Source organism: Homo sapiens, chromosome X, assembly GCF_000001405.40.
Source record: "Homo sapiens chromosome X, GRCh38.p14 Primary Assembly".
Lineage (NCBI taxonomy): Eukaryota > Metazoa > Chordata > Mammalia > Primates > Hominidae > Homo > Homo sapiens.
The window spans coordinates 32,377,188-32,403,767 of record NC_000023.11 but is presented as its reverse complement, the minus strand read 5'-3'; the positions used below and the strand labels follow the sequence as shown (position 1 = coordinate 32,403,767).

General features: G+C 33.0%; 1 protein-coding gene across 19 annotated transcripts in view; it reads left to right on the top strand.

Moving 5' to 3' along the window:
• DMD (dystrophin) overlaps positions 1-26,580 on the top strand; it is a 2,220,167-nt gene that overhangs the window by 935,621 nt on the left and 1,257,966 nt on the right. For all 19 annotated transcript variants that reach the window (XM_006724469.4, NM_000109.4, XM_011545467.2 and 16 more), the window contains 4 exon segments: positions 13,587-13,697; positions 14,094-14,267; positions 17,303-17,458; positions 23,088-23,258. In XM_006724469.4, coding sequence (XP_006724532.1) covers positions 13,587-13,697; positions 14,094-14,267; positions 17,303-17,458; positions 23,088-23,258 — 612 coding nt within the window.

The following is a 26,580-nucleotide window of genomic DNA, read 5'->3' as shown; positions in this document are numbered from 1 at the left end:
TCTTTTTACACAGCCCAGTAGATGGTAAACCTAGTGCATTTAATTTTGAATCTGTTCTAACATTGAAAGGCCACCCCTATGTGTTGCTATACAGAACTTATTACTCTCCATTTAAGAATAACTTGTTAGTTTCATATGTTTAATAGTGTGGGAAACAGTCATAAACACAAGTTGTAGGAAATGTAAAATACTAGAAACTTGCCACACGTCACTGACTGTACTTGGACAACCTGTACATTATTATGTCCTCACTGGCTATATGATAAAGATATAGATTTCTTTCATATTATTTTGATGTGTACATTTTAAGACTGCAATTAAACTATAGTATGCTTTTGTAAAAATCTATCTACAAATTCTACATATAAGGATGAAATTATTAAAATTAATGGCAAAAACTGCAATTACTTTTGCACCAGTCTAATAACTTCACGCTACAGCCACAGTGAACACTATTGCAACACTCTGAATATTTTGAAGTGATCCAAATTTATCCTATTATTTCCCAATTTTGTCTTATGCAAATGAATATTTACTTCAAAGATAGCACACAGAAAATTTATCGATCTAAAATGCACAGCCAGATAACACTTAGCATAACATACTATGTTTTATTTTTCTTTCAGCGTTTATCGTGATTGTTAAATCTTTTATTTGCTTTTTAAAAATTTTCCCCGTCTATTCCCATTCTCTAACCACTAAAGTTCAGCTGTAAGACCGTGGGCCACCCAGCAGATTTCTAACAAATAGCTGGCAAATTTATTGAATTCCACTGAGGTTTAGTCACTAAGTATGTGTCAGACAAATGTGATAGGCAGTGTAAAATTTAAAATGTGAATAAGCCTAACGTGGTCCTTGCCATCTTGCCACTCATTAGATAGCACCAAAGAAAGATAAAATTTAGAAATTGCTGGCCACTTACGTTTACCATAATAGTGAAGAACCATTTTTCCAATGGAACTTAATAGTATCATAAAGACTTCTTGTCATAATGCCTTATGATTGCCCAACTTTGAAGCTCTGAAAACCTTTCCAAAATACTTTGAATAGTATAAAATGGAACTCTTCACATGAAAAGGAAAGACTGATGGAAAATATATATTTTAGCCTCTTTATGTATTACCTAGTTTTTAAGGATTATACCATGTGAATATCTAATATTTTGAAAGCATTCACGTTATTTGGTAATTACAGCAGCCTAATGAAGTATAAAAGTTGTGTTTAAAAGGGAATATTTGAAAACACTAGATGAATGGTTGAGGCATGGGTTGAGAACAGGATGTGAATGAAAATGGACACACAGGTTTAGGGGTTAATAAAAAATGTCCTAAAGTTGGATTGTGGTGATATATACATGACTCTATAAATTTCCTATTGTTCATTGACTATATGTTTAAAATGAAAATTTTATGGTATGTAAATTGTACCTCAAAGTTGTTTTTAAAACCCTATTGAATAGAGAATATATCAATTACTATTATATATTTAAAAAGATAATTTAAGGTTACCATCAACTTTTTCACTCCATTATTTTGATGCATAGCAAAGGGTGAAATGTGATGAATGTTGTTAAATAACCTGGAATTAACTTAAATGGTAGATATTTATTGATGGCCTACTGATGTCCGCAAGATCTTACATAGTAATATCATAATGTTCCCATTGTTTACATTCTATTCCATTTAATGAATTTTAATGCTAAAGCATTTTTACTGAAGCTGATATTTTAACTCAGATCTGCTTTCTCCACTTTAATAATTAGCCCTTTATTAAGTGAAAATTAACCTAGAAGTACAATCTCCCAATTATTTCTAGGCAGCATTCCAAAATGTTCCCTAGAGTTTGATTTACTCATTTATCTATTTTGAAAAGTAACCATAATTACTTGAAAATACGTTATTTCTATTTTCAATGTTTGTAGGCACGTAGTAGATGTATAAACGTTACATGAGATATTTTGATACAGGCATGCAATGCGTAGCAATCAAATCAGGGTAAATGGGGTGTCTATCACCTTAAGCATCTATCCTTTGTGATATAAAAAATTCAGTTGTACTCTTTTAGTTTATTTTAAAATGTAGACTCAAATTACTTTTTTATTATGGTCATCCTGTTCTAGCAAATACTAGGTCTTGCTCATTATTTCTAATTTTTGTACCCATTAACCATCCCCACTTCCTCCCCAACCCCTGACTACCCTTCCCAGCCTCTAGTAAGGATCCTTCTACTCTCTATCTCCATAGTTCAATTATCTTAATTTTTAGCTCCCACAAATAACTGAGAACATGGGATGTTTGTCTTTCTGTGACTGGCTTATTTCACTTAACGTAATAACGTACAATTCCATCCATGTTATTGCAAATGACAGGACGTCATTCTTTTTATGGCTGAATAGTACTGTATTGTGTATAGGTACCATATTTTCTTTTTTTTATTATTATACTTTAAGTTTTAGGGTACATGTGCACATTGTGCAGGTTAGTCACATATGTATACATGTGCCATGCTGGTGCGCTGCACCCACTAACTCGTCATCTAGCATTAGGTATATCTCCCAATGCTATCCCTCCCCCCTCCCCCCACCCCACAACAGTCCCCGGTGTGTGATGTTCCCCTTCCTGTGTCCATGTGCTCTCATTGTTCAATTCCCACCTATGAGTGAGAACATGCAGTGTTTGGTTTTTTGTCCTTGAGATAGTTTGCTGAGAATGGTGGTTTCCAGCTTCATCCATGTCCCTACAAAGGACATGAACTCATCCTTTTTTATGGCTGCATAGTATTCCAAGGTGTATATGTGCCACATTTTCTAAATCCATTGTATCATTGTGAGACATTTGGGTTGGTTCCAAGTCTTTGCTATTGTGAATAGTGCCGCAATAAACATACGTGTGCATGTGTCTTTATAGCAGCATGATTTATAGTCCTTTGGGTATATACCCAGTAATGGGATGGCTGGGTCAAATGGTATTTCTAGTTCTAGATCCCTGAGGAATCGCCACACTGACTTCCACAATGGTTGAACCAGTTTACAGTCCCACCAACAGTGTAAAAGTGTTCCTATTTCTCCACATCCTCTCCAGCACCTGTTGTTTCCTGACTTTTGAATGATTGCCATTCTAACTGGTGTGAGATGGTATCTCATTGTGGTTTTGATTTGCATTTCTCTGATGGCCAGTGATGATGAGCATTTTTTCATGTGTTTTTTGGCTGCAGAGGTACAAGGAGGAACTGATACCATTCCTTCTGAAACTATTCCAATCCATAGAAAAAGAGGGAATCCTCCCTAACTCATTTTATGAGGCCAGCATCATTCTGATACCAAAGCCGGGCAGAGACACAACCAAAAAAGAGAATTTTAGACCATTATCCTTGATGAACATTGATGAAAAAATCCTCAATAAAATACTTGCAAAACGAATCCAGCAGCACATCAAAAAGCTTATCCACCATGATCAAGTGGGCTTCATCCTTGGGATGCAAGGCTGGTTCAATATATGCAAATCAATAAATGTAATCCAGCATCTAAACAGAGCCAAAGACAAAAACCACATGATTATCTCAATAGATGCAGAAAAAGCCTTTGACAAAATTCAACAACGCTTCATGCTAAAAATTCTCAATAAATTAGGTATTGATGGGACGTATTTCAAAATAATAAGAGCTATCTATGACAAACCCACAGCCAATATCATACTGAATGGGCAAAAACCGGAAGCATTCCCTTTGAAAACTGGCACAAGACAGGGATGCCCTCTCTCACCACTCCTATTCAACATAGTGTTGGAAGTTCTGGCCAGGGCAATTAGGCAGGAGAAGGAAATAAAGGGTGTTCAATCAGGAAAAGAGGAAGTCAAATTGTCCCTGTTTGCAGATGACATGATTGTATATCTAGAAAACCATATTTTCTTTATCCATTCGTTTTTTAATGGACATTTAGGTTGCTTCCAAATCTTGACTTTTGTGAACAGTGCCGCAATAAAACACGGGAGTACAGATATTTCTTCAGTGTACTGATTTTCTTTCTTTTGGGTATATACACAGCAGTGGGATTGCTGGATTGTATGGTAGCTCTGTTTACAGTTTTTTGAGGAATCTCAAAACTTGTTTTCCATAGTGGTTGTACTAGTTTACATTCCTACCAGCAGTGTATGAGGGTTCCCTTTTCTCCATATCCTCGCCAACATTTGTTATTGCTTGTTTTATAAATAAAACCATTTGAGTTGAAGTGAGATTATATCTCACTGTGGTTTTGATTTACTATTCTGTTATGATCAGTGATATTGAGACCCTTTTCATATACCCGTTTGTCATTTATCTTCTTTCAAAAAAAAGTCTATTCAGATATTTTGCCCATTTTTAATCAGATTATTAGTTTTTTCCTATAGAGTTGTTTGAGCTCTTTATATATTCTAGTTATTGATCCCTTGTCAGATGGGTAGTTTGGAAATATTTTCTCCCATTCCATGGGTTGTCTCTTCACTTTGTGGGTTGTATGCTTTGTTGTGAAGAAGATTTTTAACTTGGTGTGTTACCATTTGTCCATTTTTGCTTTGGTTGCCTGTGCTTGTGTGGTATGGTTCAAGAATTTCTTGCCTAGACCAATGTTCTGGAGGTTTCTCCCAAAGTTTTCTTGTGGTAGTTTCATAATTTGAGGTCTTAGATTTAAGTATTTAATCCATTTTGATTTGATTTCTGTATACGGTTCAAGATAGAGGTCTGGTTTTATTCTGCATTTGGATATCCAATTTTCCCAGCACCATTTATTGAAGGACTCCTTTCCCCAAAGTGTGTTCTTGGCACTTTGTCAAAAATTAGGTCCCTGTAGATGTATGGATTTATCTCTGTGTTCTCTATTCTGTTCTATTGGGCTGTGTGTTTGCGCTTAAGCCAGTACCATGCTGTTTCGGTTACTATAGCTGTGTAGTATAATTTAAAGTTAGGTAAAGTGATTCCTCCAGTTTCATTCTTTTTTGCTTAGGATATATTTGGCTATTCTGGGTCTGCTGCAGTTCCATATAAATTTTAAGATTGTTTTTTCTATTTCTGTGAAGAATGTCTTTGTTAGAAAATACATTATTATAATGAACTCTTCTATTATCGTTGTCGTTATTATGACTAAGCGTAACATCGTTTCTCAGGTATATTACAAGTAATAATTATACACAATGTCCAATTTTTTATTTTTAAACGGTTCTGTGGTCAAGATTACGCAGAAAAATTTATATGCTTTACTTCTCTGCTGGAGATTTTTGACCCACTTTTTTGTATTTTCAAAAATAAAAGTTTAACCTAAATTTGATAAGAAGCCACAGACACTTTTTCCTCCAGAAATATGTTGATATACCACAAAACTCATATGTCAAGGAACAATGTAGGGGAGACACTGAAATAGACTGTTTCCTTTGGCCTATTGCATATTTCTGATAAAAGTCAAAACTTCTTTAGCTGACAAAATTTAATTTAAAGGTAATATTTTTCTAAGTAACTCTACTTGGGGGGGGGGGTTTAAAAAAAGAGTAGTACAAAGCTGTGTGAATTTCTTCTTTTTTTACTTGTTGAATTATTATAAAGTATAACCTGAAACTTTTCAACATTTTTTTTCTATGAAAATAATTATATTTCTTGCATTTTCCTATCTTTGGAAAGTACATATCATCCCAAATCTTTTGATATATTTTGTTTCTTTCGTTTTCTAAGTACGTGTGATATGTGGCCATTTCCCTTTCTTGAAAATAGCAATTTCAAAATTACTGGCTCTTTCAAAATTACTAATCTAACAGTGGTACGTTCCTCCATCAATCAGTAGTCTCAACATGAAGTATTTTAATATCTTTTACTAAAATATTTTCTTATTTTCTCTAAATTTTTCCTTTCTTTGACACCACAGAAACTCCAATAATTATTTGATATCATTTTCTTCATTCTGTTAAGTACTTTAGCCTGCTGCAGTATAATTTTGCTGGCCATTTTCTGTTACTATATATATGAGAATGGTTTGATGAGGTAAAGCAAGATTTTAAAAACAGCCCTGCTCTCTGCTCAGTTAACTGTAAAGTCCTATATTTAAAATGTGATTAATGTTTGAATGATTTTTTGGTTCTATAATTTTGCCCTTTACCATATTCAATGGAAAAATGGTTAATTCGATTTCACTTGTTTTATTTTCCTACTTTGAATATATAGTGCTGTGAACATAGTTACTGCATGCTCAAATGCCTTTTTTATAATGGAATGTTGAGATAAGCTCAAATGTCTTTTTTAATATAATGGAAAGATGATATAATTTGCTTTATATTACTTGACTTTGATGAAGAAAATCTAGTGATTCTGAAAGGTACTGGATTGAGAACACCTCATAGAGCATATGTGAGTGTTCACATCAGTATCCGTGATTTGCTATGTCCTCTCACTTTGTTTCCATTAGAGTTTACTGATTTTATACGAAGCCAGGCTGATAATTTCACAAGAATAGTTGTATGTGGTTGGCTTATTTGTTTTCTTCAAATGCTTACTATCCATATCCCCCTAGATGTATATATTAGGTGAAAATATAACTCAAATTATACATCCCTCACATCTTTAGGACAACTTAGAAATCTAGTAGACAAGTAGAGAGATCATTTTCCTTCAGATTGAATCTTCTATCCCCAATGTTTTCTTCCACAATTTTATTTTCTTTCATCATATTCTCATAATGTCAAAAAAGAAAATGATTACATTGTCTTTTTTTATGAGTGATTTTTACATAGGAGATTGTTCTTCCCAGAAGTTTCAATAATATTCTGTTATTTGTACAAGTTACTTTTCTATTTCACAATAAGCCTGCGCTAAAGTGCTAAGCATTTTTTACTTATGTGGTTCCAGAATACAGTTCTGACGAGGTTAGGTAAAGTAGCTGGTAAAAGATATCCTAAGTACAAGCTAAAAGTTAATTACAATTTAAATGTAAATTTTGTGGAATTAATGTGTAAAGATGCTGGCAAATATGTGTCATGCATGTTTTACAGCTTACCCATAGTAGAATCAATTGGAAATATAAAGACATTTTATTTTATAATTTTAGTAATGAATTGAATTATTATTAATGAATATGTTAAGTATATTTGATAGCCTTTTTCCAAATCTACTTGTATGATGCACTCTGGCAAAAAAAAGCAAAAGGATAACATCTACAAAGTGTTGTATGATTCTTGGATATACACAATATATATTAATAAATATTCTGAGAAGTTCTGTGGTATAGACACATGTTCATCTTCAATTTCCAAAATATGTTTAACCACTGAGTTCTTTTTAATGCATAATCTACTCAATGCATAAAGAAAATTTTATCTCTAATCATATTGGAACAGTACTACAAATATGCGAATTTCACTAGAAATGCCTATACATTATGATAAAAGTCTCACTTTTATATGATGTTCAATGATGATTTTTTTCAATGTTAATAATTTTAGTGGTGGCGACCTTTCTAAAAACACAGAAGCTCATCCTCAACAGTTTTTCTAACTATTTAATGGAAATATGTATATTTCAAATTCCATGGAATGCTTTGCCTTGAGCTCCAAATTGCCCAACATTCCTCTCACAGGTTACTTGGTCCTTCATGTCCCCTGCCAACAGATAAAAGTCGAGTGTTTGGTTATATGTAAGCTGTTGTTGTTCCTATTATTTATGACTTATGACAACAATATGACTCATTTGGGAAAATGTGGAACTTATCAGGAAGGCCTGTGTTGCAGTGATCACTTACGCTATCTTTGCTTTGCTTTGTAATGCTGAGCTTCTAGAATTTCCAGGGGCAGTCTTTGAAAAAAAAAATTATAAATAGAAAATTAAATGCTGGTTTATAGAAGGGTCTCTTGCAAGTGAGAGGCACTGAAACTTAAGGTTCTGTAGCTTCATACTAATTCCTCATCTAGATAGTAATTCTTACTAACTCACATTCAGTCTTTCCTCCCATTAAATTAAGCACACACACTCTGCATGCCCCAAGCCTAATCTTTGCTAGCTTGTTTCCTACAGCCTAAAATAAGATCCTATATTCTTATTCTCTGACCCTCCAAAACCCTTTCTCAGCCATATGCTAGTTAAATCATGTAAATTTCCTAAAAATCACCAGATTATACAGCAGATATTAATATTTATCTTTCTGATCACAGAGCATGGGTTTTTCTGTTTTTAAAATTTTTTTAAATTATACTTTAAGTTCTAGGGTACGTGTGCACAACATGCAGGTTTGTTACGTATGTATCCATGTGACATGTTGGTGTGCTGCACCCATTAACTTGTCAGTTACATTAGGTATATCTCCTAATGCTATCCCTCCCCCCTCCCCCCACCCCACGACAGGCCCTGGTGTGTGATGTTAGTTTTTCTATTACATTGCATATATTTCTGCTTTGTAATTTACTTATATATCTACAGTCTGCCTCTTAAAATAAGGCTTCTGTAAGTATAGGGGCAACAATTTTGTTCTCACTGTGTGGAATTGAGTAGTAGAAGCTGAACGATTTGTTGAATTAAATTGACTAAATGCTATCAACATACGAATAAGATTAAATTTCTTTTTTTCTCACAAATGTCCATTTGGAGGATACTTTTATTTTAAAATCATAATTAAAGAGGCAGTATAATTGTTAGAGGGCAGCAAGTTTGTTACTTCCTAGTTATGTTACCTTGGGCATGTTGATGTTTCTACCTTCATTTGTACATGAAGATGATAAATACTTATGTTAATATGATTAGGAGATGGAATTAATTATATAAAGTGTTAGCACATAAGTTCCCACAAATATCTGTGGTGGTGAGGATACTGATGATGATTTCTTTTCTTTTTTTTTTTTTTTTTGTTTTTTTGTTTTTTGCTCTTCTTTGACCACTCTGGTATAAAAGGTTAAAGGACTATGTGTATACTTCATTTTTTCCTCTACTAACCTTGGAGGCTAAGGGGATGGAAAAACTTTTAAATACATGTACACAGATATGATTACAGATGTATAATTTGGGCCCTCTACCCTCTCTGAGTGTATTCTTATTTTTTTAAATCAGTTTCCTTTCACAGTCTCCACAATTGCTATTGAACTTTTATCACTTTGATTTAAATTCCACCTTGATTCTCTCCTCTCATCCTCAGCAGATACCTAGGGTTTTGTGCTTACGAGGAAATGACATGTTATATCGCTGATAACTTATAACTAAATATTTGTGCAAATAACATGGACAGGTATTTTTACATATACTGTCACATCTGATCTTTTTGACCAAAACCAATGTAGTTGACTACTGAAGAAATGAGAATTTCTCAGATAAGAAAACTTCATTGCTGGCTTGCTATTATCATTCTTGGGCTAGACATGAGAAAATCAAGGTTCAGAACATGTTGATGCTTTGCCCAAGGTGGCAAGAGAGAGCCCTGAAATTTAAATCCTGGTTACTGTTAACATGATTTCACCCTGATACTCTGAGAGCACCATGTAGGAAGCATTCAACTTCTTGCGTCTTCACATCTTACTTTTGTTTTCTGAAAAAGAGCCACCTCTCCTCCTGTTGATATTTTCCGTTGGCCCTGAGCTTTGTGCTTCACTCTGGTTTTCTTGCTTTAAACAGGTTTTTTTAAAATCAAGTTTATCTTCTTACATTTAAAAAAAATCACTTTATGTGTTGGCTTCTTTCATGTAGCCTTAAAGTATGTTCAAGTCTGATTGACCTGAATTTTATTATGTGTGGAGACAAAAGTCTGCAAAAGTAATTTAAACTATTTTTATTAGAGTGCTCCTTGATCCTTAATCAGGCCAGCCCTTGAAAATACGATTTCTGCTCTCGTCATCCACTTCTCTCTTCTAGCTGCAATGGTCATTGACGAGCTCATGTACCCTGATTACTATTGATCCCATTGAACCTATCTCAAACTGTCACTGTTGACCTCTCTCTCTCATTCTTAAAATTCTCACATCAATTGATGTGAGATTTTCTCTCTTTTCTAGTTCTTCTTTTCTTTCTCTTTGACTGTTCTTTCTCTTTATTTGGTGCTTTTCTTTCCATGTCAGTTAAATTTGTGTTCTCCATGGTTCTCTCTTTGTTCTCTCTTTCTGCTTTCCTCTAACGCTTGAAAACACTGAAAAAATACATATTATACAAATGTACCCTGTTTCCCTCTTTCTCTCTGTACAGACACACATAGTGATTATTAAAATGCAAACTCACTTCAACATACTGCTGATTTACAGTCGCATTTCCTCCCTATGAATTTCCTTAGTTATCGGATCAAATATTAGCAATAAAACTACTGTTATCTGTGATTATGATCAATTTCAAATTTTGAAATTTATCTTCGTGATCAAAATAGTGGTAACCATTCATTTGGGACATAAAGTTATTTAATACCTGATTTCTACCTACATTTCTTGTTAAATTTTGCCAAACTCCTTATGCTCTTCAGTGCCCTGTCTCCACACCTTGTCTCTCTTCAACCAGAAATGCTTTTGTTTTTACAACTCCTATATCCTTGCGTATCCAGTATGCATATACAGTATTTAGGACTCTCATTTAGAAGTAACAAAATTGAAGTAACTAAAGCAAAACAAATGAGAGAGAAAGGTTTTTCATATGGAAACAGGAATGTGTCATAGAATCCAAGGGCAGTAATAAAGTTTTGACTCAAGAAGGGACTAATGCCTGTGTTTTGGTTATTTATGATAGCCATTTATTATTCCCACTAATGGTTTTGCGTGTTGAGAAAGCTCACCTGGATGGTTCTCTTTTGTGGTTTCTTATGTGATTTTAGTCCATTGTTGTCTGATACTATAGTAACCTGAATGCTCAACTGGGCTGAACGTCCAAGATCACTCATTCACATGCCTAGCAGTTGTTGGCTGAAAGCCTTGTTGTGATTGTTGCTGAAGCACTTATCCATGGCCTTTCGATGTTACTTAGCTTTCTCAGAGCATAATATGTTGGATGGATTCTAAAAGGGAGCACCCTAAGAATGACTGTTCTAAAAAGATAGACGTGGAAGCTGCCAGGCCACTTAAGGACTTTTGCCATAACTGGCACTTGGACTATATTCTATTGGTCAAAGCAGTCAAAGAGTCAACCCAGATTTAAAGAGCTGAAGAAATAAACTTCACCTCTTGTTGAGGGAGTGGTAAGAGGAGCATGTGCTGTGGGAGCTATTATTGCAGCCCTCTTTCGAAAATGCTATCTACGGGCTGGGCACGGTGGCTCACACCTGTAATCCCAGCACTTTGGGAAGCCGAGGCAGGTGGATCACCTGAGGTCAGGCATTCGAGACCATCCTGACCAACATGGTAAAACCCTGTCGCTACTAAAAAATATAAAAATTAGCTGAGCATGGTGGTGGGCACCTGTAATCGCAGCTACTTGGTTGGCTGAGGCAGGAGAATCGCTTGAACCTGGGAGGCGGAGGTTGCAGTGAGCCAAGATCGTGCTATTGCGTTCCAGCCTGGGTGACAGAGCGAGATTCCATCTCAAAACATAAATAACTAACTAAATAAATAAATAAAGCCATACCGCATTGGAAGCCATCAGTGTTTTTGTTACCACCTCACTCCCTATGCATCTACTTCTTTCTTCTCTCTCTGTTCATGGACCTTTGCTCTTCCTCAATCCACTCTGCAAACTAGGGACTTCGTAAGCACAATTTGCTAGTATATGTGACACAATTCGAAGCACTCACAGTTTGACCAGACTCTTCTGTCAATTCTAATTTTCTGAGAGAGATTCTGATGATTCTCTCTTAACACAAGCATTGTGTGTATTCTGATCACCCATAACATGGAGTTGGCCAGAATTACGTGGCACAGACATGGTTGTTACTGGCCCACCTTTTTGAGGAGGATTAACATTTCCAAGATGAAAGGCCCTAGCCATAACCCCTCTAAAGCATCTGTTACTCCCAGCAATGCTTACTAATTATTGAAAGTTCTACTTTAACATCAACTCCCTTATGACATCCTCCGTACAAGCATCACTCCACCCTGCATACTTCCATCCAATTTTATAGATTCTGTGATGTTTCTTGCTCTATAAATAACGTCATGCACCTAGATGGATCCCTACTCCCAGATTCTAGGTTCACGAAACATATCAATATTTCTCACACAAGGTAGTTATTCAACCAATGAAGATCATCGATATGGTAATAAAATAAGATACATTTATATGCGTATTTGCTCTCATTTGTTTTAAGGCAGAATTCTAACTATTTAGGTAATTCATAATTGATTTGCCTCTATAATTGTTAGGATTAATATTCTAAGGAATAATATTGAGGTACATCTGTGAATTTATAACCTTGCATAAGGAGCTCCTTAACCACTTAGTCCATGTTCTTGGTATAATTCTCATTACTCAGTTCAGGGCTATAGTTCGCTCTGGAAACTGCTAAGCAAAACTGATGTTATCTTCTAATGATATGTATCAGAATTTACTCCAATTGGTGTAAATTCACTTACACTAATATACGTTATGCAAAATGATCTGCATGATAATGTTATGGGCACTCTGGTATAATTTAGTTTCTGCTCTAAATTATAATAATCTAATAATGACTGAATTTTAAATTAGAATGATTTGACCGCTAGCTGATTTTGTATGGATTTGACAGAAATAAATAAATAAATGTATTGTGTTCGTGTCCACATGCTGCAGAGATCCCTGCCTATAACTGGCTCAGAAATTCATATGTTAAATGCAGAATATACTTTACTATAGAACTTGATCGAAAATGTCTTTATTGAATATATAAATATTGAAATGTTTTATAGTTATCTAAAATTCACAATCAGTATCTGCCGGAAGCCATCAAATATCTATCAGACAAATAGCAATACCTGTTTGGGGCATTTGACTTCCATTTCTTAGATTCATAGCTTCCCTGAAATTTAACTGAAATATGGCACATAATGACTGAGTAGACTACACTAAGGCCAGGCACAGTGGCTCACGCCTATAATCACAGCTCTGTGGGAGGCTGAGACAGGAGAATTGCTTAAGACCAGGAGTTTGGGACCAGGCTGGGTCACATAGCAAGACTCTGCCTCTACAAAATAAAATAAAATAAAATAAAAAGAAGGTAATTAAGGAGTATTTTCCACATGCAATTTTCTCATTATATCTCATCCCTGTCACAGTTGGCTGAATCTTACAGATTAACATCATGTCTTTGGTCCGATTTGAGTGTGACTTCAAAGATAAAACATATCAATTCTACATATAATATATAAATTACCTATTGAAAATGATATCTGAAATAGTTGATATTGACTCAAAATGATTATTGCTTTTTTCATAATAATCCCATAGGGAAGAAATAAATCGTTTCACTTGGATAATTTATGAAAGTAAAAAATATTTATGATAATTCTATTTAGGTGATCCACCTGCCTCGACCTCCCAAAGTGCTAGGATTACAGGTGTGAACCACCACTCTTGGCCAATTTACGGTCATTTTAAAGGAAGCTACATGGTAGAGGTGGTTGAGGAGAGTTTCTGAATTTCGTCTTCTTGGAAAGTTAGTTGTTCTTTGTAGAGCATGCTGACTAATAATGCTATCCTCCCAACAGAAAATCCAATCTGATTTGACAAGTCATGAGATCAGTTTAGAAGAAATGAAGAAACATAATCAGGGGAAGGAGGCTGCCCAAAGAGTCCTGTCTCAGATTGATGTTGCACAGGTATATGTTATTTCAGAAACTAAGGAACGTGTTTTCGTTGGGCATTATACTCCAGTCTATATTGGACAACTTGATTATTGGCAAGATTGGATTTGAGGACATTATTTGAAAACTATAATTTGATGTCTAAACAATGAGTGTTTTGCTCTCTACATTTTAAAGATAAAATAGGTTAATAAATTACCTTTTATTTAGTATAACATTAAGAAAAAACTACTGAATCATTCTCCCAAATGTATGTTTTCCTGTGTTGGATGAATGGAAAAATACTGCTTTATTTTGTTTTTATTTTTCTGTATATCTTCAGAAATAAAGGCAGATCTATCAATAAAAATAGGACCAGTTATTGTTTGAAAGGCAAAATTAAATCAGTGCCTTTTTACACTGTCCTTACAGAAAAAATTACAAGATGTCTCCATGAAGTTTCGATTATTCCAGAAACCAGCCAATTTTGAGCAGCGTCTACAAGAAAGTAAGATGATTTTAGATGAAGTGAAGATGCACTTGCCTGCATTGGAAACAAAGAGTGTGGAACAGGAAGTAGTACAGTCACAGCTAAATCATTGTGTGGTATGTATTTCTGGTGGCAAATACGCAGGTACCCCTTGACTTTCCTCATTAAGAAGTAACTGCTCTTTTATAAGAGAGAATTGTTTTCAGATAACCATAATAATTATACTATGTAATTTTAAGATTGAGAACAAAAATTGGCACATGTATTGTGGCCTATTCTGTGTGTCTTTTTTGAGTCTATAATTCTGCTAAGAACTGTGCAGAATATAAAAGGATGTTGCTTGTGTTTAATTTTTATGATTCTTTAAATATATTTTAAATGGAAATCTAGAAAGGAAATATATTAATCTAAAAATAGTAACAACAACAGTAGTTGCAATAATCCTAACAACTTCAGAAATAATGGATGCCAGGTAAACTACGTGACATACAGAAGTCACCTTTAATTCTTAAGGCTACAGATTACCTGAGAGAATTTAAGGACAAACAGCTGGTGAATGGCAAAGCAAGATTCCAATTCAGGTACTCTTATTCCAAACTTTAATAACTTTCCTTTAAACACCAGTACTGGATATACAGTGAAATGCCTCAAGACAACACCGAATTAAAAGGCATGGAAAGGTACAAATAGCCTAAAGTATAAATCTGATTTAAACTTTATAATATTGAACGGTGTCCTATGTTGCTGTTATTGGAAACTCACCAACTGAGATGATTCCTCTGAAAACAAAGCTGAGGTATGATTGCATCTACTCGAGTAACATAAGTATTATTATAACTCTACATGTACTATCGGCCATTAGAGTGGGAAGTCACATAAAATGAAAACACAGAATGTTATTAAAGGGAAAACAAGTCTATTTAGTACTTGATATTTTAAGTATTGTTTCTACATCTACTCCATAATATCAATGAAAAACAGAGTCCTTCAGATACATCGTAGTCATATCATGAATGGGGAAATATTTTTCTTTTTAACAAATATCTTAAAATAAATACATATATTTATGTGTGAAAAATATGAGGTATTCTTATTCGATAATATATTTTCATAATTCAAGCTGCATTTTAGTGGTATAATTACTTTAATTATTCTCACCCCCAAAAAGAAACTTGGAATAGAAATGATAGAAAGTAGTTAGTTGATATTAGATGAGTAAGGATAGGAATATATGGGAACATATCCCATCTTAAATTTTGCCAAAAAAAAAAAAAAGGAAAGCATAAATGACCCAAGTGCCTTATTCATGACTAATATTTGCAAAGTGAGCACTTTTCGTTCTTTTCTAGAAACAGGTCTCTAATGTTACCTTATAAAATGTATCCAACAGTAAATATGAGCTGAAAACAATCTCACCTGTGTCAAGCTGTGACTGTGCCCTGCGTCAGTACAAAGGAAACTGCTCAAGGCATTTGCTCAATTGGTTTCTGGTTCTGGTTTAAATGTCAGGACCAATTGAAGCAGTTCTTTCATAAGAATATCCTTACACTGTTTAGTTTTTTCATTGTTTACGATGCTTTGTGGTGTATACCATAATCATAGTCTTGCCTTCAAGACATGTTTGTCTATTTATAAAAGTCTTACTTTCATGAACACAAATATAAATAATATTTCTCCCCTTTGTTTATAAATATTTTACTTGCCTATTGAATGAAACAATGTTAATGGCTAACGGTACCTTGAGGGAACTTTCTTCATCAAAATAAAGCATTTATATTTTTTGAAGTTCAGAGAGTAAATAATTTAGAAAAATCTCTGATTCCAAATTAGCATCGTTGATTTCCAACATAATAATTAATTTCAGTGTTTCCAGATACACAGATATTTTTATATCTTCTAAGAAAAAAGTAAAATGAAGTAAATAATATCATCTGGGAAACTCAGACAAAAGTCATAATTATTAGTGATGAAGGAATGTTAACATCATTTGTCAAAGAGGATTAATATGGAAATATACATGTAGCATTGATCAGATAATTGTCCAGCCTTTACAAAATGCTTTTTTTTAGACATTACTTTTAAACTGAAAAGAGAAATTAAACCCAATTTTTGTTCTAATTCCATAAAAACAATTACCTACTGTCAGGTTTATTTTTTGGTAATACTAAAATAAGTACTGATAGTTCAGATTTATGACTAAACAAATTAAAGCAGAGATACATAATGTAAACTATTATATATACGTGTATACGTATATACACACACGTACATATATTTGAATACATGGCCACATACATACAAAGACATATATTTCTAGGAAAACTACAAAGCAAAATTAAGACATCAAGTGGTGTTGGAGTGGTGTTGGTGGTATAATTGTGAACATAGCTGTCTTCCAAAGTTATGACACTTGTCTTATGATGCTTTTTTATAGCAACCTATGTTTTGTGAAACCGTATGTGTGTGCTTTATATTTGTGATGTACATGTGAATTGTCAATAATATTTTTATATCTGGTTTTCATCAGCACTTTTAAGAAAATAAAGTTGTGTAATTTAATTAACATTGAAAAGGACCTTACTTTCTTATATATGATACAATATATATTGAAATTATGATGTAGAAATTTAGGTGCTTTAATGTTACTAATATGTAAGTACCATGAGAACAATAGTGAATGTGTGTGTTTTGGCCACCACTGACTTCCCAGTGATTCAAATACTATCTGATTGATAGTAACCACTCAATAAATACCCGATGTAGGAGTGAATTAATTCATCCAAATTTATGGCTAGAATTATATAACTCCAACATTTAAAATAGAAGTCATGTAAAATTCAGAATTGACATTTATGTTCTTTGATTGAAGAACTAAATATATATATATCACAAAACACATATATATGATTAACTCTCTGTTTAATAAGAATAGCTGCAAATGACACATATATGCATGTGTGTAGACAATTAGAAATATTAAATCAACAGAAAATGCAAAAGCTAGATATTGACCACCGCTGCAAAATGCTACTCTATTAAAATTTCAAACATGGAATAGCAATTAAGGGGATCTCTATTTATTTCTGTTCATAATATTATGAAATAATTTAACTCTACTGATTATCATGTTTTGTTTTATGTTTAAACTTAGAACTTGTATAAAAGTCTGAGTGAAGTGAAGTCTGAAGTGGAAATGGTGATAAAGACTGGACGTCAGATTGTACAGAAAAAGCAGACGGAAAATCCCAAAGAACTTGATGAAAGAGTAACAGCTTTGAAATTGCATTATAATGAGCTGGGAGCAAAGGTGTGTGCATGCTGAGACCACAAACACTTCTTTCCACTTTCCTTATAAATTGTAAAGCAACGGGCAATAAATTATGTATGATTAGAGTCTTAGCAATTCTAAACACCTCTCTCTCTCTATGTATATGTATACGTATATATATACACACATATACGTATATATATATATGTACACATATACACAAAGATAAACATATACACATATTTCGATGTGGAATTCTCATTAAGAAACAATAATTAATCAGTGAGGCTCTGCTTATTCAGATTGAAAAATACGTAACGCTCAGGGAGGTTTTTCCTGGTCCATCAGATAGCTCTAAAAGGGTTTCTTAGTTGTAAGTGTTCCTTATTTTCATTATATATATCTACTTGTGATGACTTGAAGACTGGTAAATATTATAAACTGTATCTATTTATATGTAGGTCTAATGTTGTTAACATATTCCACAGAGACCACATTAAGTTTAAAAATTACACAGTAATTATTTCCCTATATGGCCAAGACTTGCAAAATCTACCACACTTGGCTAATAAGATAGCATGGATAGCCAGTTAAGACCTACGTCTCTGTAATTATTTTTGTATCATTGTCCTGATCAGAGTCTCATGACCAGCTCCACTTCACTGCTAATTCAAGATGCCTATATCTCTCCATCTCACTTCGCTCAACTCAAATATTCTGTATAGATTATGATAGTAAGTAGTCTCTTCACTCTGTTGATTGTTTGTTTTGCTGAGCAGAAGCTTTTTAGGTTGATGCGATAACAGTCGTCTAGTTTTCCTCTTGTTGCCTGTGCTTTGGGAGTCAGATCCAAAAAAAATGTTTGCCCAGAACAATGTCAGGAAGCTTTTTCCTGTTTTCTTCAAATCATTTTATAGGTTCAGGTTTTAAGTCTTGAGTCCATTTTGAACTGGTTTTTTATATGCTGTGAGATAAGTGTCCAATTGCATTTTCATGCATTTGGATATCCAATTTCTCAGAACCATTTATTGAAGAGAATGTCCTTTTTTCATTGTGTATTCTCGGCCCCTTGGTTGATCAGTTGATCATAAATATGTGGATTTATTATTGGGCTCTCTATTCTGTTCCTTTGGTCTATATGTCTGTTTTTATACTACCATCCTGCTCTTTTAATTACTAGAGCATTATAGAATATTTTTGAATCAGGTAATTATGATACCTCCAGCTTCGTTCTTTTGGCTTAAGATTGCTTTGGCTATTCTGGGTCTTTTGTTGTTCAAAATGAAATTTGGGATTCTTTCTTCTACATCTGCCAAAAATGTCACTGGAATTTTAATAGGGATTGCATTAAGTCTGTAAATTGCTTTGAGTGGTACAGACATCTTAACAATATTATTTATTCCAATCCATGAATATGGGATATCTTTCCATAAACGGATATCTTAGTATTTCCAAAAATGGACTTCTAACATTTTAATTTCGTTCTGACTGAAAGAACTGAATTTCTTGGAGGATAAAAAGTTATATTTTTACAACTCAGGTTCTCAACTTTAGTGAATAGAACAACATCACTGATAAAATTGTCACCTCATCTTAGACAGAAATATGAATGTCCATGTTTGAGAAATAGCTAAGGAGAGGCATATTTCTTGCATCTCAGCCTGAAAGTAGATTGAAGGTTATATCTTCAAGATATTAGTTGCCAATTCCTTACCATAGAAAGTAAATTTTATAATTAAGTTGAAATCTGGAAGTAATCATTTTTCTTAGATAGTCTTGTTTTTATATTTTAAAAACCCTCTAATTAATATTTGTTATGTTTTAAACAAGTTTGTTGCCATCCTATGACAAAAGATTCTCCTACTTTGTTTCAAAATAAGAAACACTGATACTCAATTGATGGGAAAGCATTATGATAATCTTGAAATAAAATACATTTCAACTGTTCATTTGGTCTACCAAGGTACCTTTGGAATGAGATACCTTTATATCCTCTAGAGAAATTTATCATTGTTTAAAGATCACCACAGACAGAAAAATTGTATCTGCACTTGATACCTTATTCCGGTGCTTATCAATTTTTATAGATGCCAATTATTTCATATTTAACATCAATTACGAAGGACTGAGTAATCTCTAGTCTCAAATGTATTAGAGATTGAATAATCTCTAATATTAATCCTAATGCTACAGCTTCAGTTCTGGAGATATATTGTTTTTGTAATTATAAATTTTAAATTAATAAAATGAATGTATGTTATAGTTATAAATTACAAATTTTCAGTTTATAATTTGACCTGTGTGACTTTATACTAAAATAATGTATGGATGAGTATTTTTTAAATTAAGAAAATATATGTTTTGGTAAAGGGGAGTTTCTCAGTTTACTTTTTAAAATAGAGGTTTTTTGTGTGTGGGCTTTTTATTTGTCATAGGAATTTTTACGAAATCATTGCAAGAGTAAATTTAACATAAAATAACAGAATAAATCAATTAGAATTTAAAGCAATGAAAGTGACATTAGACGAATAATAGTGCCCTGAGTTGATTATTATTCAGAAATGAATGATTCTCGTAATGATGTCAAACCCTATTTATTCCTGAAAATACATATCTGAGAGCTTGTGTTTATTCTAACCATTTGCCACATAGTAATATCCTTAAAGCAAAATAAAAGTGTATGAAGAAATCATATTTAACTTTAATAGTATCACAGAATACAGCAAAAACATAGGCCAAACATTTATTTTTGAAGTAAATATTGATGTAGAAACATTTGTGACTAAGGGATCATGTATAAATACCATCTTATAAAAATGCTGTAAGTCCTATATTCTTTGCCTGAGAATAAAAATATTGTCTGGATTTTGACTCAAAATATTTTCAACAGCAGTAGCTTTGTCTAATGAAAGCAAAGGCAACAAAGGAAATGTTATTACATTATTCTTTTTATGTAAGAAGGAACCCTTCTATTTTAACCATCTTCAGAATTTATATGGTTGTGTCTGCCACAATTGAGTATGCATTACCTTTTTGGAGTAATCAGCTCTGGCTGCCATAACACAATAAAATAAACTAGGTAAATTGATTTCTGCAAGTGTGGAGTCTGGGAGTGCAAGATCAAGGTGCTGATCCATTTCATTCCTGAGGAGAGCTTTCTTCTTGTCTTACCTTTTTGCTGTATTCTTACATGGTGATGAGTGGGGAGAGAAAATATAATTAATTTATTAAGAGATATTAAAGCTGGCACCATTGATGTAATAATACCTATAACCCCTTTTTATTTCTCTATGCTCTGATTTTTATGGAAATTTACATAAATAGCAATACTAATATCATCCCTTAAATACATTGTTAACTTCGTGAAACAATGACTACTAAAACATTTTACTGCAGGTGGCATTGTGTTAAACGTATCCATTCCTCGCATACACACACAAAGTATAAAACTCAATTTTCCTTAAGATGGCAGTGTCTCCTGTTTTTTAAAAATGTATTTAGCTGGAAATAAACAAAATGAAATAAATAAAAATCAATACTGCATTAGCTCTGGGAAGATAGAATTTCTTTGAAATATTGAATCTGGAATCATTTTTCTACCAATAATGCATAGGAAAAATATGCATAGAAACACACCATAAAGTATATTTTCCCTCACCCCCCACACACCCCTACAACACAAAATTCTTGCAGTCAAAAGGGCAGATGCTTTTACTTAGGAAAAAAAAAAATAGAAGGGAAAATCTGTTTAAAAAATGAATTTACAGCCTCAGCAACTAAATGTTTTCTAAATGTACGCACACCTCTCCTAAAGAAAATAAGGAATTTTATTATTTGGAATTGGAATTGTTATCAAGGTTCCAGAATATTTATTTCGATTGTAGCATTTTAGATGCTTTATACATATTTTTATCTTTTGTGTTTTTCTTGCTTATAGATAGATTCTTATTTTGGTTGTACACACACATACACATAGACACACACACACATATATATGACATAAATATATGTATCAGTCAGTGGTGCCTATTGGGCTTAGGGCATAATGCACAAATAACGCACTTGTGGTGGTGGTATTGTTTTAACCAATTCCATTACAATTGAAATTAATCTGGAGTCTACCTTTCAGATTTCTTAGCAACAAAAGCCAAATCTTGTCCATGTTTTATTTACCTGTAAGGTAGTAAAATAAATGTAAATAAAGCTTTTGCTCTATACATTCAGGCACAGTTTTTTATTGAACCATCCCTAAAGGTAAATAATGAGAATAAAGGAAGGGATTGAGGTGGTACAATATGTCATGCTCTCTCAAACTGTTGTCTGCCTTTACCCTCGCAATATTCCTGTGTTCTATTAATAAGTATAGTAATCCCATTTGACAGATGTGTTGAGAAAAATGAGGTGTTCTGCCAAAAATCATACTCAAGTCGAGAGTCCACTACGTATCGCAGAGCCTAACATACTTACATTCCATCATGCTGTTTCTGCAGAGCCAAATATTTATATCTATTGTTCAGATTCCCAGGCTTCATGACAGACAAGGGTTTTTTTTAAAAAAAGGTGAAAACACATACCAAAGAAAAGAAAACCAGGAGCAACTTGTAAGAGTATAAACTCTTTATGTAAATTCTACCAGTTATATTTTCTAACTTGTAATTAACGATTTGCAAGTCTTCATTCATTCCTTTATTCAATACATAAAGCATATTTAGTGAGACCTTTCTTTGTTCAAGGAACTTTCAGGAGTAGAGAGGAGTAATCTAAAGATGTGTGAGGCAAGAAGATTTGCCTTTAAGAAATTGTAATTTATCTGGCTTTTGTTGATGATTTGACTGCCTTTAGTAGAAAGAGATGCTGGGATTTTTATTAAACCAACCAACTGAAAATCTTAACAAAATATAGGCACATCTGAGAAGGTGGTGGAGAAATACAGATTTGTTCATTTCTTATGTGAGAATATGGATAATTTGCTTTTGAGGGTGTTGGTATCAAACACTGAGAACAGGAGCACAGGATCAAGTAATTAGTTTTTCTATTAATGGGAATGAATATTGTCTTCACATTCATCTTTTTGTCCCTATTGGATGGCAAAATTATGTTTAAGGAGGAAGTGACCTATTCACTGTATTGTTTTTGAGCAGATGTGAGACACTTTAAAGATGTAACGAGGATACAGTTGAGAATTCTAGGTATTACACAAATACTTTTACCTTTTGAGAGAATTAATCTTCTATCTTCATTTTGATTCCTTACCAGCATGAGCTAGTCTCACTTGTATATAGAGGATTGTAAACCTTCTTGCCATATTATTGACACATGACAGTAAGTTTTCAGTGAGAAATGAGTTTTATCTTCAGTTTGACTTATATCATTGTATTTATCATAAACTTTGGCTATAAATTATCTTAGAGAAAAATTCGTATAGGTTTCTTTTCTACCATGACGACATACAAGACCCTATCTTTTGGACAAACGATGTCATCTGCCCTAGACAGTTTTTATTCACTCTTAATATTCAGAATATATGATTTTTATAAAATATTATTTTAAAACGTGTAAGAAAATAGTTATTTTAAATAACAGAAATATAAAAGTTCCAAATAAGTGGTTATAACGAAATTTGAATTAAAGAGTAAACTAAATTACATTTCATTATAATTCTTTTCAGGTAACAGAAAGAAAGCAACAGTTGGAGAAATGCTTGAAATTGTCCCGTAAGATGCGAAAGGAAATGAATGTCTTGACAGAATGGCTGGCAGCTACAGATATGGAATTGACAAAGAGATCAGCAGTTGAAGGAATGCCTAGTAATTTGGATTCTGAAGTTGCCTGGGGAAAGGTAAAACCTATATCACTGAAGGTTATTTTGAACATACGTGAAAACACATAATATGATTTTGTAAGGAAGTATTAACATGTAGCAATAATAGCATTATAAATATTAATATTGTTTCATATTCCCTTTCTTAAAAATTAATCTGTGCTTTTCAGGACCATGATAAAACCAATGGTAAGCTTTAGCAGGAGTCTCTCCAAAAGCTTCCTTAGAGTTCAGTAAATTATGAATAAGACCTTAAGAAATACATAGGTCATTAGTCTGAAAATTGGTCCAGAGATGAGATCCTATAATGTACTGGCTTGCCTAAGACCATACTGCCCAGATGAATCCCACAGCCATGAAGAGGGCAAGGACACAGAGATTGAAGACAGTTGGGCTGGACAGGACTTGCAAGATTAGCATATTGCCAAAGTCGCATTTCAGAAAGAATCTCAAGGTGTCTATGCAGGGGCTATCATTTCCATCACCAAATGACACAGCGACTCCTGTAATCATTAGCCGTTAAATTCTTGCCCTTTCTCTGATGGCCAATCATTTCATGCTGCTTAGAACTTAGTCAAGAGACTCATAGCTTAGTATTTTTTTTTTTACTGTTTATTCATTACCAGATTACCTGAAAGTGTGTTGATATAAAGAAAATAGCTGATATTGATAACATGTTTTACCTCAAAATTTGCCACTGTGTTAGGCCATTTACACCCACTTAATGTTTTAAAGTTACCAAATTAACTAGATGTATAAGACGTTTATACTTTATTTTTAATTCAATGTGGCTATCCAGATTATTCAAAGTTGGGAAATTTTCAATACCTTATGTAAAAACTTACAATCGTATAAATGAGACCCAAACTGAAAACTGTCTTTATGTAGATTCAGAGAACAAGTAGTAATATATTTTGTTACATAAAATATTTCCAAATAAATAGTAGGGAATTAAATTGTTTTTCTTCTCTTTCAGAATAAATGTAATGTTAGATAAGATATTGAATTATAGTTATTCAGGATCATACATGAGATTACTATAGCAAGGAAGATACAGTATATACAGGTTAAAACTCACATTAGCCTTATTTTTTCTTATCATTCAAACATATTACTTGAGGTATTTTTGCATTAGCCTCACCATGAAATCATTCAAATGTTATAAGGTAATGACCTTTGCAGAGGTTTCTAGGTTATCCTTCTCATATAGAAGGCTTGAATAGTCTGGAGAATTGTCTGCTTGTTGAATCTGCCTGGAAAGTATTTTTCATAACGTCAAGGAGCAAAGCTACTGTGAGATCTAGTAGGAAAAAAAAAAAGCTTAGAAAACTGGCATTTATTTTCTTTCTTTATAGAATAAAGATAATTTATCACTCTATCTAGATCTTTTCAAACACTAAGCTGTTAATGACATACTCTAAAATCTCTTAGTTGTCAAATAAAGTATATTCATTTGCATCTGAATTACAGAACTTTTTTTTTTTTTTACCAATTTATTTGGAAGGTTCTCATTATTTCTTTAAAAATAACAATCATAAAAGAATATATGCCCTGCAGATCTAAGCCAGTCACATTTATGATAATCATTCTAATATTTTAACATAAAATTCAAACTCTCATATATGAAACCCCGTGACTATTGAGTACATTCTCATTTCTCATGGTTTCTTGGTAGGTGGAGAGCTTAATTCAAGCTATAAGTTTCATCTGCTGTTTCAAAAGATAAATGTCACATTTTTAAAAACTAAATTAAATTCATTTAAATGCAATACATTAAATGTAGTTGCCGATCATTCCAAGTATTTGGAATGTGACTGCAGCAAATTTGAATATCTAGAGTCAATTTCTTTTTTATTATTTTAAAAAATTTTTAGACAATTTAATTTATATCTGCTGAATTTCTCCCAGTTCTGTTGACCCAAGAACATTATATTTATTTTCGTATGAAAGTATTTGAACATCTAGTTTCAAATATTCAAATACATAAAAATGTCAATTACTCATGAAGTGATTTTTTGACCTTTAGTTTATCCAAACAAAGCATAATTTCAAGTACATTGACTATAGTTAAATAGTATCAGTTTTATCTTAAAGTATCTTAATTATATTTAATATATATTAAATTCCAGAAAAATTATTTAGTGTGGCTTGAAGAGATACATATGGCACAACTTGAGAAGCCTAAATAAATTGGAAAACTAGGAAAAGGAAAATTATAGTAGATAAATAATAAAAAATTCTTGCATAGAAATATATCCACAATGTATCATGGGTGGTGGAATGGACAGGGAACATTTTAAAGCCACAAATTGGCGCCAAGCTTCCTAAAAGACAAAACCAAGAAGTAAACATATTTTTGAGACCCAAAGTTTCCAAATTATTAAAATAATAATTAAAATAATTTTAACTTTACTAGTAGTATGTTAGCTTTTTGCTAGAACTTAGTGCCAGAAGAAAATAAATGGGAGGGTCATAAAGGTGATAACACGCTGATTCATATTCTTATAATAAACAATAAGAATGTTTATTTTTTTCTACCAACATGGCTCCATGAAAAAGAAAAATTTAGTGCTAAAGGGCCATTCAGGAAAAGCAATTCTATGAGAGGAAAAAATATTGGAGCAGAAGTCTAAAGTAGTCTAGCAATTGTTTTCAGATTTTCAGATTCTCTATTTTATTAATTTTTAATTTTGTATGGATACATACTGGGTGTATATATTTATGAATTATAGGAGACATTTTTATACAGGCATGCAATACGTAATTGTCACATCATGTAACCTTCTGTGAATATGCTTTCCTGCAACTGAGCTTTTAAGTAGAATTAGACATCAGAGATTTGAAGGTTATTTATTTTCTCTGAATACAGAAAAAAATTTTCTGTATCTTTTTCCTGGAAAGAAGCCAGATTGTTTCTAACTGAGAACACATTTCTATACTTGGCCCTATATCTAATTGGAAAGCAGGGCTTCATATTCATGTGTATGTCATAGTACTAGAAGGCTTCAATAGCTAAAAATTTTTGCTAACATAGAGTTTTGGGTTTGAACCAGTCACAGAGAAATTGGCTATTGAGCCTTTTCGTGCCAAGCATAATTGAAGAAAGAAAACTCACCATCGACAACTCAAAATATGTTGACTTCTCTAGGAACCTGTATCAATCTCTCAGTGAATGTATTTATTTGAAAACACAGTTGGGCTATTACTTTAGCTGTAAAAGCTATTGAAAATAAAGCTCAGTAGTACTCTCTTACTTGATGATGGCATTTAAAAGGTGAAGTGAGAATGTTTTATAGGGGGCATGAAGTATCAAGTACTGAGTGTGATGAAAATTAATATA